Source organism: Homo sapiens, chromosome 11 (genome assembly GCF_000001405.40).
Source record: "Homo sapiens chromosome 11, GRCh38.p14 Primary Assembly".
Taxonomy (NCBI): Eukaryota; Metazoa; Chordata; class Mammalia; order Primates; family Hominidae; genus Homo; species Homo sapiens.
The window spans coordinates 24,743,414-24,759,020 of NC_000011.10; the positions used below are offsets into that span (position 1 = coordinate 24,743,414).

Below are 15,607 nucleotides of genomic sequence, written 5' to 3' on the forward strand. Positions count from 1 at the left end.
TAGGTATATTCCTAAGTATTTTACTTTTTTTGCAGCTATTATAAAAGGGGTTGAATCCTTGATTTGATTCTCCACTTGGTCGCTGTTGGTGTAGAGAAGAGCTACAGATTTGTGTACAGTAATCTTCTATCCAGAAACTTTACTGAATTCTTTTATCAGTTCTAGGAGCTTTTCAGAGGAGTCTTTAGGGTTTTCAAGGTAAATGATAATATCATCAGCAAACAATGACAGTTTGACTTCCTCTTTACCAATTTGGATGCCATTTATTTCTTTCTCTTTTCTGATTGCTCTGGATAGGACTTCCAACACTATGTTGAAGAGGAGTGGTAAAAGTGAACCATCTTTGTCTTGTTCCAGTTCTCAGAGGGAATGCTTTCAACTTTTCCCCATTTAGTATTATGTCAGCTGTGGGTTTGTCATAGATGCCTTTTATTACATTGAGGTATGTCCCTTGTATGCTGATTTTGCTGAAGGTTTTAATCATAAAGGGACGCTGGGTTTTGGAGAATGCTTGTTCTGATGAGCATTCAACAGAGAATGCATCATCTGTTGAGACGATCATGGAATTTTTGTTTTTAATTCTGTTTATGTGGTGTATCCCATGTATTGACTTGTGTATGTTATACTATCCCTGCATCCCTGGTATAAAACCCACTTGATCATGGTAGATTATCTTTTTGATATGTTGGATTCAGTTAGTTCGTATTTTGTTAAGGATTTTAGTGTCTATGTTCATGAAGGATATTGGTCTGTAGTTTTATTTTTGGCTATGTCCCTTCCTGGTTTTGGTAATAGGGTGATGCTGGCTTCATAGAATAAATTAGGGAGGGTTCCCTCTTTTTCTATCTTGTGGCATAGTGCCAAAAGGATTGTTACCAATTCTTCTTTGAATATCTGGTGGAATTCTGCTGTGAATCCATCTGGTCCTAGACTTTTTTGTTAGTAATTTTTTAATTACCATTTCAATCTTGCTGTTTGTTATTGGTCTGTTTGTGGTTTCTAGTTCTTCCTGATTTAAGCTAGGAGGGTGGTATTTTTCCAGGAATTTATCCATCTCTTCTAGGTTTCCTAGTTTATGTGCATAAAGGTGTTCATAGTAGCCTTGAGTGATCTTTTGTATTTCAGTGGTGTCAGTTGTAATATCTCCTGTTTCATTTCTTAGTGAGGTTGTTTGGGTTTTCTCTCTTCTTTTCTTGGTTAATCGTGCTAATATTCTATCAATTTTATTTATCTTTTCTAAGAACCAGCTTTTTGTTTATCTTTTGTATTGGTTGTTTTTTGTTTCAATTTCACTTAGTCCTGCTCTGATCTTGGTTATTTCCTTTTTTCTTCTGGGTTTGGGTTTGGTTTGTTCTTGTTTCTCTAGTTCCTTGAGGTGTGACCTTAGAGTGTCAGTTTGTGCTCTTTCAGTCTTTCTGATGTAGGCATTTAGGGCTATGAACTTTCCTCATAGCACCACCTTTCCCGTATCCCAGAGGTTTTGATAGGTTGTGTCATTATTGTCGTTCAGTTTGAAGATTTTTAAAATTTCCATCTTGATTTCATTCTTGTCCCAGTGCTCATTCAGGAGCAGGTTATTTAATTTCCATGTATTTGCATGGTTTTGAAGGTTTCTTTTGGAGTTGATTTCCAGTTTTTTTCCACTGTGGTCTGAGAGAGTGTTTGATATAATTTCAATTTGTTTAAACTTATTGAGACTTGTTTTATGGCCTGTCATATGGTCTATCTTGGAGAAAGTTGCATGCGCTGTTGAATAGAATGTATATTCTGGGGTTGTTGGATGAAACGTTCTGTATATATCTGTTAAGTCCATTTGTTCCAAGGTATAGTTTAAATTCATTGTTTCTTTGTTGACGTTCTGTCTTGACCTTTCTAGTACTGTCAGTGGAGTATTGAAGTCCCCCACTATTATTGTGTTGCTGTTTTTCTCGTTTGTTAGGTCTATCGGTAATTATTTTATAAATTTAGGAACTCCAGTGTTAGGTGTATATATGTTTAGGATTGTGATATTTTCTTGTTGGACAAGGCCTTTTACCATTATATAATGTCCCACTTTGTCTCTTTTAACCACTGTTGCTTTAAAGTTTGTTTTGTCTTATATAAGAATAGCTACCCCTGCTTGCTTTTCGTGTCCATTTTCATGAATTGCCCTTTCTACCACTTTACTTTAAGTTTATATGAGTTCTTATGTTTTGGGTGAGTCTCCTGAAGGCAGCAGATGGTCAATTGGTTGGCAAGCTTTTTGTTGTTGTTGTTTGATTTGTTTTGTTTTGTTTTGTTTTGAGATGGAGTCTTGCTCTGTCACCCAGGCTGAAGTGCAGTGGCACAATCTTGGCTCACTGCAACCTCCACCTCCTGGGTTCAAGCGATTTTCCTATCTCAGCCTCCTGAGTAGCTAGGATTACAGGCACAAGTCACCACACCCGGCTAATTTTTGTATTTTTAGTAGAGATGGGGTTTCGCCATGTTGGCCAGGATGGTCTTGAACTCCTGACCTCAGGTGATCCACCAGCCTCGGCTTCCCAAAATGCTGGAATTACAGGCATGAGCTACTGTGCCCAGTCAGTTCTTATCCATTCTGCAGTTCGGTATCTTTTAAGTGGAGCATTTAGGCCATTTACCATCAATGTTCGTACTGAGATGTGAGGTACCATTTCAATCGTTGTGCTGTTATGTACTTGGTGTTTTTTGTTTTAAGTTTTTGCTTTTTAAATTGTATTTTTGTTTTATAGGTCCTGTGTGATTTATGCTTTAAAGAGGTTCTGTTTTGATGTTTCCAGGATTTGTTTCAAGATTTAGCATTCCTTTTAGCAGTTCTTGTAGTGGTGGCTTGGTAGTGGCGAATTCACTCAGCATTTGTTTGTCCAGAAAAGACTGCATCTTTCCTTCATATATGATGCTTACTTTCACTGGATACAAAATTCTTAGCTGGTAATTGTTTTGTTTGAGAAAGCTGAAGATAGGGCCCCAATCCTTCTAGCTTGTAGGGTTTCTGCTGAGAAATCTGCTGTTAAAGTAATAGGTTTTCCTTTATAGGTTTCCTGGTGCTTTTGTCTCACAGTTCTTAAGATTCCTTCCTTCATCTTAACTTTAGATAACCTGATGACAATGTGTGTAGTCGATGATCTTTTTGTGATGAATTTCCCTGTGTTCTTTGTGCTTCTTGTATTTGAATGTCTAGTTCTCTAGCAAGGCTATGGAAGTTTTCTTCAATTATTCCCCCAAATAGGTTTTCCAAACTTTTAGATTTATCTTCTTTCACAGGAACACTGATTTTTCTTAGGTTTGGTTGCTCAGCATAATCCCAGACTTCTTGGAGGCTTAGTTCATATTTTCTTATTCTTTTTTTCTTTGTCTTTGTTGGATTGAGTTAATTGGAAGACCTTGTCTTTGAACTCTGGATTTCTTTCTTCTACGGGTTCAATTCTATTGTGAGACTTTCCAGAGCATTTGCATTTCTATAAGTATGTCCAATGTTTCCTGAAGTTTTGATTGTTTTTTCTTTGGCTATCTATTTCCTTGAATATTTCTCCCTTCACTTCTTGTATCACTTTTTGAATTTCCTTGCACTGGGCTTTGCCTTTCTCTGGTGCCTCCCTGATTAGGTTAATAACTAACCGCCTGAATTCTTTTTCAGGTAAATCAGGGATGTCTTCTTGGATCCATTGCTGGTGAGCTAGTGTGATTTTTTGGGGGTGTTAAAGAGCCTTGCTTTGTCATATTACCAGTGTTGGTCTTCTGGTTCCTTCTCATTTGTTAGGCTCTGTCATAGAAAAGGTCCAGGGCTGAAAGCTGTTGTTCAGATTCTTTTGTCCCATGGGGTATTCCCTTGATGTGGTACTTTTCTCGTTTTCCTGTGGATGTTCATTCCTGTGAGCCTAGCTGCAGTGATTGTGATCTCTCTTCTGGGTCTAGCCACCCAGCAAGTCTACCTAGCTCTGGGCCAGTACTGGGGGCTGACTTCACAGAGTCTTATGATGTGAGCCATCTATGGGCCTCTCAGCTGTGGATACCAGCACCTGTTCTGGTGGAGGTGGCAGTTGGGGGTGAATGCACTCTGTGAGGGTTCTTAGCTCTGGTGGTTTCATGTTCTATTTTTGTACTGGTTGGCCTCCTGCCAGCACGAGGCCCTTTCCAGAGAGCATCAGCTGTGGTAGTATGGAGACAAACCAACAGTGAGCAGGGTCCTAAAACTCCCAAGAGTATATGCCCTTTGTCTTCCACTACCAGGCTACCAGGGTGCATAGGGAAGGACCATCAGGTTGCTGCAGGGCTAGGCATGTCTGAGCTCAGACTCTCCTTGGGTGGGTCTTGCTGTGGCTGTTGTGGGGGATGGGGATGAGGTTCCCAGGTGACTGGAGTTGTGTACCTAGGAGGATTATGGCTACCTCTGCTGAGTCATGCAGGTTGTTGGGTAAGTGGAGAAAAGCCAGTAGTCACAGGCCTCGCCCAGCTTCCACGCAATCTGAAGGGCTGGTCTCACTCCCACCGTGTCCCCTCTAACAGCCCTAAGTCTATTTCCAGGTGGTAGGTGAGCAGAGCTTAAGAACTTACCCCAGGCTACCCACCTTCCAGCTTTGAAAGAAAAGGGCTTTGTTCTTCCCCTTCCTGTGGAGTCTGCAAGCTGGATTTGTACCCTTCCCCCAGTTCTAACCAGGAGGCTTCTTATCCAATTCTAATTATTACAGAGTTCAACTGGAGACTTCCTACTTCCTGTGGTGTTTCCCCTGACACCCCTCCTGAAGGTTCTCTGTGATGCCAGGCAGGAATGGCCTGCTTGGGGACGCAGTGAGCTCCCAGGGCCTTTCCCACTGCTTTCTCTACCCCTATATTTTGCTCAGCTCTCTAAATTGACTCAGCTCCAGGTAAGGTTGGAAACCTTTCCTGCAAACTGCTCCTTCAGTTTCCACAGTCAGGGTGTGTGTTCAGGAGCCGAGGGTCTCCCTTTCCCAATTCCACGGTTTGGGTACTCACAGTATTTGGGGTGTCTCCTGGGTTCTGCGGGAGCAGTTTGCTTCCTTTAGAGGGTGTGTCTATTCTTGTTAACTTCCTTTTTTTTTTTTTTGAGACAGAGTCTTGCTCTGTGGTCAGGCTGGAGTGCAGTGGCACGATCTCAGCTCCCTGCAACCTCCACCACCCAGGTTCAAACGATTCTCCTGCCTCAGCCTCCCTAGTAACTGGGACTACTGGCGCGTGCCACCACACCCAGCTAATTTTGTATTTTCAGAAGAGAGGGGGTTTCACCATGTTGGCCGGGATGGTCTTGATCTCTTGACCTCATGATCTGCCCCCCTTGGCCTCCCAATGTGCTGGGATTATAGGTATGAGCCACTGCACCCAGCTGACTTCAAAAAATAATTTAAAAATCACATATCAGTATATATTTATGTATGTAGGTATCTATAAATATACACACATACACATACGTAAGGGAATATTTGTGTGTGATTTTGCGTGAGGAAAATGAGAGAGGAAAAGAAGAGTAATATATTTCAACAAAAGAGTCTTCTTTATCCATTATGCTTTTTAGAAAATTAAAACATTTTAAAAATTACATATAATTTGTAACCCTTCAATTAGAAATGGAAATCTTGATATAGATAGTTGATATAAAGTAATACCAGAGGGCATATCTCACTCCTTTCTTGACGTTAACAAATGTACATAGCCATACCCCCTTCTAAGGATGTAGTTAGAAAATGTATGTATTACTATAGAAACAGCTTACAGTAGAGGCCAAAATTTCCAAGTAACCAACTTCAAAGGGAATCGGACCTGGGCTGGCACAAAGTGCAAATCAGAAGAGACCACTTTGGTGGTCTTTGGTCTTTGCCATAAGAAGATAAAAAAGGAGATGAGAGAATGGAGAATGAAGAGCAGAAGTGAGTACATTTAAACAGCTTTAAAGTCAAAAGCCTTGTTTTCCCACTAGGAGCCTCTTCTGGTTATTTGGTTATACGCCCCTGTGATGGCTAATATTAGGTGACAACTTGATCGGATTGAAGGATACGTAGATAGCTGGTTTAAGTATTGTTTCTGGGTGTGTCTGTGAGGGTGTTGACAGAGGAGACTGCCATTTTAGTCTGTGGACTGGGGGAGAAAGACCTACCCTCAATGTAGGCGGCACCATCCAATGAGCTGTCAGCACAGCTGGACCAAAGCAGGCAGAAGAAGGTAGGATAAGCTGGTTTACAGATACCTACATATACAGATATAGACTGATAAGTGATTTCAAAATTATTTTTAGAAGTTAATAGGAATAGACAGACCCTTGAGTCTTCTAACTTTCACCTCCTCCTGGGCTGGATGCCTCCTCCCATTTCTCCTGCCCTTGGACATCAGACTCCAGGTTCTTTGGCCTTTGGATTCTTGGACTTATACCAGTGGTTTGCCAGGGGCTCTCAGGCCATCAGCCACAGACTGAAGGCTGCACTGTCAGCTTCCCAGCTTTTGAGGCTTTTGGATTCCGACTGAGCCGCTACTGCTTCTCTCTTCCCCAGCTTTCAGATGGCCTATCATGGGACTTCGCCTTGTGATCCTGTAAGCCAATTCTCCCTAATAAACTCCCTTTCATATATACATGTATCCTGTTAGTTCTGTCCCTCTGGAGAACCCTAATACAGTCCCTTAAAAGAATTATCTACTTGGAATCTTCTAGACCAAGAGGCTGATAAAAACTTTATCTGACTTGTCAGAATACTCTGGATGTTATTCAGAACCTGGGGAAGTGAACATCAGAACTAGAAAATAGATTGTTATCCCTTTCTTACCCAGATGAATGCCCACTCTTTTACTTAATACTGGGGCATTTAATGAGACTTTTCTTAAAGACTCCACAGAGATCTCTCAGGTCTCCATCTTGACTTCCACAGACTTAGTGTCTTCCTAGGAGGACCTTTGTATATGGTGCAGTAACACAGGCATCCCTATGAATACTGCATCATTTGCATTATACTTGCCTCTTTATATCTTCCAATAGGGGAAAGAAAGAAGAATGAACACAATTTTTAAAATCTGTTGTAGAAGCAAGGTTTTTTGACCATAGTATATCTTCATATTGTAAAACACAGCTGATGTTAAACAAATTAAGAATATAGAATCATCATTATAATTACTCAAATATTCTACCAGTTGGTAACTTATAATAATGTATTCAAAAACCAATATGAAGACAAAATATTAAATAGGCTCACTTTGGAGTCATTCCTCAAGAAGGGTATTTAAATAAACTGTATATTCAGTTGTTTGGCAACTTTTTTTATGAGTAGAAGTTAAAAATATCCCTCAACTTTCTCTTCTCTCTACTTAAGTCTTCCATGCCTACTAGAACCATTATTGTAGAAATGCATTTTAATCACATCCAGTACAATATACACATACATGTATAAATATATTAATGTTTCCATATACTGTCAACCAAGAAAAAGATAAGTGACATATACTAATCTTGTGCATGATATATATTCATACTTTCTACTCTAATCCTCTAATCTATTTTTAAATGATATTCTTGACTTTCTACACTTTTATAATCAAAATATATGGAAAGTGGCCATGTCCGATGCTGTGATTTTACCAGAAACTTACAGCTTATCATTCATTCCAAGAATACTTATTAATCCTCATTAAGAACTAGAAAATATGGAATAAACCATTTTCTTTTTGACTCATCATCATCAGAATCATTCATTAAATGCATATTTATATTGTTACTACCAAGATGAGAAACTGATGCCATTGCTAACTCATTCCCCCAAATGATAACTGCTAAAAAATCATAGCAGTTAAAGGAAAATATGAACTGAAGTATTAAAAAAGAAGCATGCGAAAAACCCAACAAACGAAATAATGAGTGATTCCTGGAAAGAAAGATGACTCACAGAAATGAATATATATGTCTTTGGAAGAGATCGTTGTGATTAGTTGAGTCAGGGGGCCGCAGTAGGAGGCATGCAAGAGTAGGCTGAAGGTCATCTGTAGATTCTGCTCTCCTTTTCTGCACTCTTCCTTGAGAGTATCACCTTCTGTCCCTTCCCCTTAGAAATCAATGGCAACAGCTCAGGCCTCTCCTGTCATCAAGGTAACATCAGTGCAGTACAAAAGCCCTGCTAGAATGAGAAGTAATGGGAGTGAGGAAGGGTGGAGTCGTAGTACCCACCCCATCTCCCTTAGATCCCCTAAGAGCATTCTATGCTTTCAAAGTTTTCTATCCTGGGTTTTTCATTTTCTCCCCAGGACAGCAGCCATCATTGGCCCTTTTCCTGTACCCATTGCCACACAGAGCAATTGAAAATTAAAAAAAAAAAAAAAAATCAGATAAGGGCTAAAATGACAAGATATTTGAGTACAGAGCTACTAAAAAGAAACACTACACATTGCACTACATACGCATTCTGAAGCAGAATTACTGGAGTAGATAAACTAACAATTTAGTTAAGCATGTTAAATATACCCAAGGAGTTAACCTATACAGTAATAACACATAGAAAAACAAAACAAAAAATCATAAAAAAACTACTTGATAATGTTAACTGTAGACAATAGCCAGTAGTTAATAGGTAAAATAAAGAATACACTAAACGGTGTAAGTATAAGAAAGAAAATAGTAATAATGACAAATTTATAGAAAGCATCAGGGAACGACAAAATACTGAGATAGAAAATATAAAATATGCATTAAAAGCTATGGAGAATCAGAGTAAAATTGCCAAGTATCTGAGTCACAAAATAAAAGCACACATATAAATAAATAGAAACTTTATCGTGCCATCGTGAAATTTTAAAATATCAAAATAAAAGATACAATTACAAAATTTTCCAAGGGAAAGAACAGGTCACCCACAAAAGGGCAATAATCAGATAGATATCAGACTTCTTAAGATTGTTAATGAATTTAAGAAGACAATAAAGCAATGTTTTAGTACACTGCTTCTACATTGTTCTATACATATAAACTGGCATTCAAATGTTAAAGCACGTAAAGCATGGAAGTGTTGCCAGAGAAAGCTCCATTTTGAAAATCCTTTTGGAGGAAATACTGTACTCAAAAACAGAATAAACAGCAGACTGCAAGTGATATGAGGATTAATAGTGAACAAATACCTTGGCCAATTTAGTTTTTCCTTTAGGAAACAGAGCCGAAGAGGGGAAAATATGATTGGAGTGAGGCAGTGCAACAAGGGGACATATAGTACATAACCAAGACTATTATAAATTTTCTATATTTTAACTTAGAAGCAATTATGGTGAGAACAAAATTAGAATGTGTAATATTGAAACTCAATGCAGAAAAACTTGATTTACTCTGTTAAAAAAATAAGATGGAAAAAATTAAATTAATTCCTATAATGGAAAGGAAAAAAGGCAAAAAATTCAAGATGGCCAAAGTTCCAATGTATTAGAAATCATGAGAAATTAAAATGGGTTAAATTTAATAATTTAATTTTTAAAATGAGACAGAATAACTAAAATTAAAAGAATAGGAAAATATATACAAATGTTCTAAGTTTAAAAATTGAAAATATTGCATATGTAACATAAGCAAGATAGGAAAATACAGACAAAAGAATATAAAGAAAAGAATTGGCAACAACATTAATGTCTGCCACATAAAATTTAAGAAACAGATATAATAAGGGAAGACACTATATACTCGCAAACAAAATAAAATAAAGTAAAACCATTATAAATAAGTATATACCTAACAATGTAGCTTCAGTATTCATCAAGCTATATGTCATAGAACATGAACATAAGCAGATACATAGAATATCTTAAAAATACAATTGATAATTTTATTTTATTTTACATCCACCAGTTTGTTATAAAAGAGATAATGAAGGATACAGAGGAAGAGATGACTAAGGCGAGAAATAGGGGAAGGGGCAAGAAGCTTCCATGCGCTCGCTGGACATGCCACCCTTCAGTAATTTCTAGTGTTCATCCATGTAGGAACCCAGTCCTAGGTTTTTATGGAAGCTTCATTACTTCAGCTTTATGTCCCCCAGGGTATAGGGCAAGATTCTCTTTAGAATGAGAGTTTTATGATCCACAAACAGAAAGGCAGGGAAAGATTAGAGTCCTATTTAGTATGAGTTATTAAAATTGCTTGAGGGGCAGATGTACACGCCTTCTGTTTTACAGTACTAGGTAGATGAATTTCCCAATCAGATACAACGCTCATTCCCATAATACAATCAGATAAAAGTGACCAAACTGCTTCACATGAGGTGTGTTCAAATATATCAACTTTTATAATCCTATCCATTTTTACATTTTTAAGTTCTTGTCCCAGGAACTTCTCTTCTTCTCTTGCAGACTATTTTACCCTCTCTTGTGCGAAAGACTTTGGGCCCTCAGCCAGAGATTAAGCCAAGGGACCCTGGCCTTTCTGTCAATCTTTATCTTCATTAATCAGTATAGCCATTACCCCAGACAATGCCACGGATGGGTTTCTCATTGTAATCTTTTAAAATATTCTGACTTTTTAAATTTATTCAGACTGGGGAAAATAGAGCAAACTGGTTTGGGGCCCTTTAGTATTGGGGGACCAGCCAAGTCTCCCTTTGATCTACTCAGCCTTTGATAGTGTTGTATTTAGACTTTTGTTTTAACCCCATTAATTTCCATTTTATTCATTTAATATTTTAATAACCATCTAAAGATTTCCACCTTGTGAGATGAATCCCATGACTCTCTCTTCTCTTTTTCTTTGTAGTTTCACCTCATCAGTGTTTTTTGTTTGTTTGTTTTTCTTAATTTTTTGTAGAGATGAGGTTTCACTATGTTGCCCAGACTGGTCTTGAACTCCTGGCCTCAAGCAATCCTTCTACCTTGGCCAGCCAAAGTCCTAGGATTACAGTTGTGAGCCATCATGCTCTGCCAGTGTTTTCTTTATTCATCTTATTTGTTAATTATTTAAAATTTTTCACCTTTCTGGGATGAGTTCTTTCACTCTCCTCACTACCCTTCACTGTTCTCTGGTTAATTTACCTGATGTTTTATTAGCATCTGTAGTGACCCATGAGGAGAAGTTGAGACAACAAATTTGATAAGGCTTCTCTGACTGTCTCTGTTTTGTATCAACAGGGTTACATGAGGTGTTCATGAAAATGGGGCTCCCCTAACCACAGCACTTACCATAACCTGAGTAACAGGCATATTTAGCCAGTGAATGTCCCTGACATCATAAAAGCAATCCCATTTGGCTTGCATATGAAGCATATCAACTGCTTCATCTGGGGTGCTCCACTTGGCATTTATAGGTGGAGTCTGACAGTCCCACTTCAGAACTTTACAGTGGCTTTTATCCACCCCACCAGACTGGCCATTTCTTCAGGAATAAATTCCTATGATATATACACATCTGCAATTACTCAGTAGTGAGCTGTAGGTCCTGCATCAATGCAAACATGTTCTTCTACTCTGCATCATTTAAAACCAAAGACACTGGCTGGGCTTGGTGGCTCACATCTGTAATCCCAGCATTTTGCGGGGGCGAGGTGGGTGGATCGCCTGAGGTCAGGAGTTCAAGACCAGCCCGACCAACATGGTGAAACCCCGTCTCTACTAAAAATACAAAATTTAGCTGGGCATAGTGGCGGGGCTTGTAATCCCAGCTACTCGGGAGACTGAGGCAGAAGAATCACTTGAACCTGGGAGGTGGAGGTTGCAGTGAGCCAAGATCATGCCATTGCACTCCAGTCTGGGTGACAAGAGCAAAACTCTGTCTAAAAAACAGAAAAAAAAAACACACACACACATTAGTCGCAAATTATTTACTTTCACTATCCATTTTAGTAAAGGTACCTCAGAGAGCTGATAATACCAATGTACAAAGTGAACAATTTCTTCGCACTTCGCATTCTGCTAAGTTTTAGTAGTTACTTGTTTTTGCCCTTCTCCCACATTGACCACCTTTTTGGTGACCAAAGGTCTTAGAAGTGCTTTCTGTTTTCCTGACATAATTTTCCCCTTTGCGGGTGGCTTTGAGGCTAGTGGCCTGAGCTCAGACAGACTCACATCTGAGCTTGGTTTCCCCTAAAGGCCTGACTCAGCACTCTATTTAAATTCTATTTTAGCTATTATAGATAAAAATAACCAAGGATTCGAACATGTTGCTTTTCTCTTATTAGTTTCATAAACCAAAAATGAAATTCTAAGCCTCCGGATGGATTGAATGGACTCCCCTCTCAGCCAACGGGATTCCAAAGAAACCTGAAAAACTAGTTCAGGAAGGGGATGACAGACATGCCTCATTACACTCTTTCTTTTGGATTTTAGACACAACTGACTAACATTAACATTAAAACTGAGATCTTAAGACTGACAAAACAGACTCTTTGTAGCAATTAAGAAGCAACATTCCAACCTGACTTTAGTGTAACATCGCATGACAAATAAAGAAGGAAATCAAATTATTTTACCTCAAAATATGTTTTCTTACCATATTTTGAAATGGCTCTTTTTATCTGTAAAGAGTCTTTATTAATGTAACTCAATCTTTCCCCTTCCAAGCCCTCCAATCCTGAAGACATTAACTGCGAGCCTGGCACATTTTAAGGCCTGATAAGAGACGTTTGCCATCTATTCTCTGTAGAGTCAGCTTCTGTGGCGGCTTCATCTATATAATAACAACCTTGGCTTTCACCACCCCCCTTATGTTAACCCCAAGCATTTCTTTCTGCTGGCTTCAACTGTAGGCAAAGCTTAACTGTTTTAATCAATTACCTATGACCTGAAAGCCACATCTTCTCCCACCTTTGAGATATCTTACATTTTCAGACCGAACCAATGTGTACCTCACATGTATTGATACACTGATTAATTCCACATGTCTTCCTAAAATGTATAAAAGCAAGCTGTAACCTAACCACCTTACACACATGTTCTCAGGATCTCCTGAGACTGTGTCAAGAACGATTGTCCTCACAATTGTCTTCAAATAAATCTTTTCAAATATTTTACGAAGTTTGGCTTTTGTCATCAACAGTTTGCATTTCCCTGTGCATCCATATCTAAATTCCACTGATAGCTTTTACCTTGAGTAACCAAATGCAGCATAACTGCAGCTCTATACCATGGGGGACCATGTGGCCACCCAGGAATCAAAGGTTCTTCACCCCCTGCTCTTTTATTATTTCTCTTTCCGAGCTGTGTTTCCCTGAGCCTAAGCAGTGCTAGCAAATCTCATTCCCTTGACACAAATTGTTTTGGGAAAAACTGTCAAACCATGTTTTTCTTCTGCTCCCATACCACAACAATTAACACAGAAGACTTCTGTGACCAAATGTATGGGGATTTGTTCTACTAAGAAGTAGCAGACACCAGCTGAGTCTCCTCCAATTTAATTCTGACACTACTTAGCTGGAGATAGTGTCAGATCCCACAGGTTGAAGGCTCAGTCACTAAGATTGCTTCCCCTGCTCAGACACCAGTCTCAAGTCATGGCCTATAGAACTTCTGACCCACCAGTTTCAAGCTGAGGTTCCCATAACCACCTGCTTTGTTTTGATTAGTTTTCTGGAGTGCCTTACAGAACTCGAGGAAACATCTACATTTACTAGTTTATTATAAAGGCAATTAAAAAGTATACGAAGAGATAGATAAGACAAGTTATGGGGAAGGGGCATGGGGCTTCCATGCCATCCCTGGGCATGTGGCCCACCAGGAACATCTGCGTGCTTAGCTCAGGAGGGCCTGAGAACATGTGTTTGTGTGTATATCATGAAGCTCTACAATTGATAATTTTAAACTATTAGTATATAGTAAGAAATCACCGACAAACTGCCTATATTTCTTTACCACACCCAGTAGATTTACAGAAATGATATACAAATAAAATATGTATTGAAACATAAATGAAGTTCTATAAATTCAAAAATATTAGTAGCACATATGTTATTAAACTCTATTTTAATAAAAGTAAAAATAATTTTTATAAGAGGTCAAATAATTTCTTGTTTAAAAATATGTTCTAATAACCATTGGATTAGTGAGAAATGATCAAACACATTGTCATACTTGGCACTTAATAATAATGAAAATCATACATGTCAAAGTAATACTTACTGGATAATGAATAGCTTTAAATACATTTTCAGTTAAATGAAAGATAGATGACATTAATTCAAGAAGTTGGTTAAAAAGCAGAAGCTCAAACTCAATGTACTAACGAAAGAGAATTATAAAGACTAGACAAAAAACAATAAACTATGAAAGAAACAAAAATCCCCTAAATCCTTAGTTCTTTGAAAAGATTATGCTAAAGAAAAAAGGTTATGATAAAAATTGAATAAGAATAAAAGACTCAAATGTTAAAATGTCAAATGTCAAATAAAAAAGAGAAAAAGGCCATATTCACAATTTGAAGTATGATCAGCAACTTTCAACTAATTAATTTTAAATTGTAAACAAAAGTCCTAGGTCATATTAATATAAAATTCCAAAATTTCTGCAATTAGAAATATAATACTTGAATAGACCAATGCATTTGGAATTTCATTGTACTAAAAGGCATCTATTTCCCCAAATTCTGAAGAAGGATTTTAATGATGACTTTTACCTAATTTTCAATGACCAATTAATTCCTAATAAATGCAAGTATTTTGTGGAAAATAAATAACTCTCATCTCGTTATGTGAGCATATGCATTTATTATTGCAAATCAATTCATAACAATATGACTAAATAAACTTATAGGCATATTTCATTAATGAATGTAGATGTAAAAATTCTGAATAAACAAATCTAAGAGTATATTAACAAAATACACATCATGATCAATGAAGGCAAACATGTCTTATCTCTTCAGGAAAATGTGTTCTATGTTTTGAATTGAAAGAGTGATATGTTCTAACTCAGAAACCATAAAGAGATGACAGAATCTTTAACTAATGTGGGAATGACTTGCGTGTGTGTGTGTGTGTGTGTGTGTACATGTGCTTGTGTGTATATCATGAATATTTTATTTTATAATGTGCATCTGGTTGATGGTGGAATCTAGGGAAAGATTAATATCACTGGGATCAACACTTAAAAATTTTGGTAAAGATTCAAATAAAATCCTTTGTAGTTTTTCTCCCTATTTGAAGATTCTAGGTTAAATAAGGATTAAATTAACACATATTTATAACTTTTTTATTGTATAAATCATCCACTAATTATTTTCACTGAAAGGAAGACTATAGTTGTAATTGAAGTTTGGATAAGTAAGGGAGATTAAGATCACTGATGCTCTCTCTCAAATTGGGGCAAATTTTGGATTTGATTAGAGAAATATTGTGCTATTTTAGATTTAAGAGCAGATAATCTTATGTATTGTCCTTGACTAAACATCAAATTACTATGGATTTTTTTCTATCAAGATAAGAGATTGTTTGTTTATGCACATATGGTGCAAATGCTCACATTTGGTAAGTCTATAGTAAAATGCTATGAAACATTGATTTATTTATCATTTTTTCATTGATTGAAAAAAGATGATCTTCCTCATTGAATTTAAAAAATATGAAAAAAGATGTATATCTGAAAAAATAAATTAAAAAACAGTGTATCTTTCTTGATCTAATTCTGTTTAAAAATACTCTTTATGGAAATAGAAACATTT

At 37.4% G+C, this 15,607-nt stretch overlaps 1 protein-coding gene across 9 annotated transcripts in view, besides 2 other annotated features; it reads left to right on the plus strand.

The window, feature by feature from the left end:
* LUZP2 (leucine zipper protein 2) overlaps nucleotides 1-15,607 on the plus strand; it is a 585,586-nt gene that overhangs the window by 246,361 nt on the left and 323,618 nt on the right. The gene's annotated exons all lie outside the window — the stretch shown is intronic.
* Nucleotides 3,525-4,724: an enhancer, noted in NCBI's record as "MED14-independent group 3 enhancer chr11:24768484-24769683 (GRCh37/hg19 assembly coordinates)". NCBI's record gives its function as "activates an origin of replication core promoter dependent on BRD2, BRD4, P300/CBP and CDK7 cofactors, and independent of MED14, by STARR-seq in HCT116 cells {active_cell/tissue: HCT116}" and the evidence as "EXISTENCE:reporter gene assay evidence [ECO:0000049][PMID:35650434]".
* Nucleotides 12,084-12,585: an enhancer, noted in NCBI's record as "NANOG hESC enhancer chr11:24777043-24777544 (GRCh37/hg19 assembly coordinates)". NCBI's record gives its function as "activates a minimal SCP1, AML or CMV promoter by ChIP-STARR-seq in naive H9 embryonic stem cells {active_cell/tissue: H9 hESC(naive)}" and the evidence as "EXISTENCE:reporter gene assay evidence [ECO:0000049][PMID:30033119]".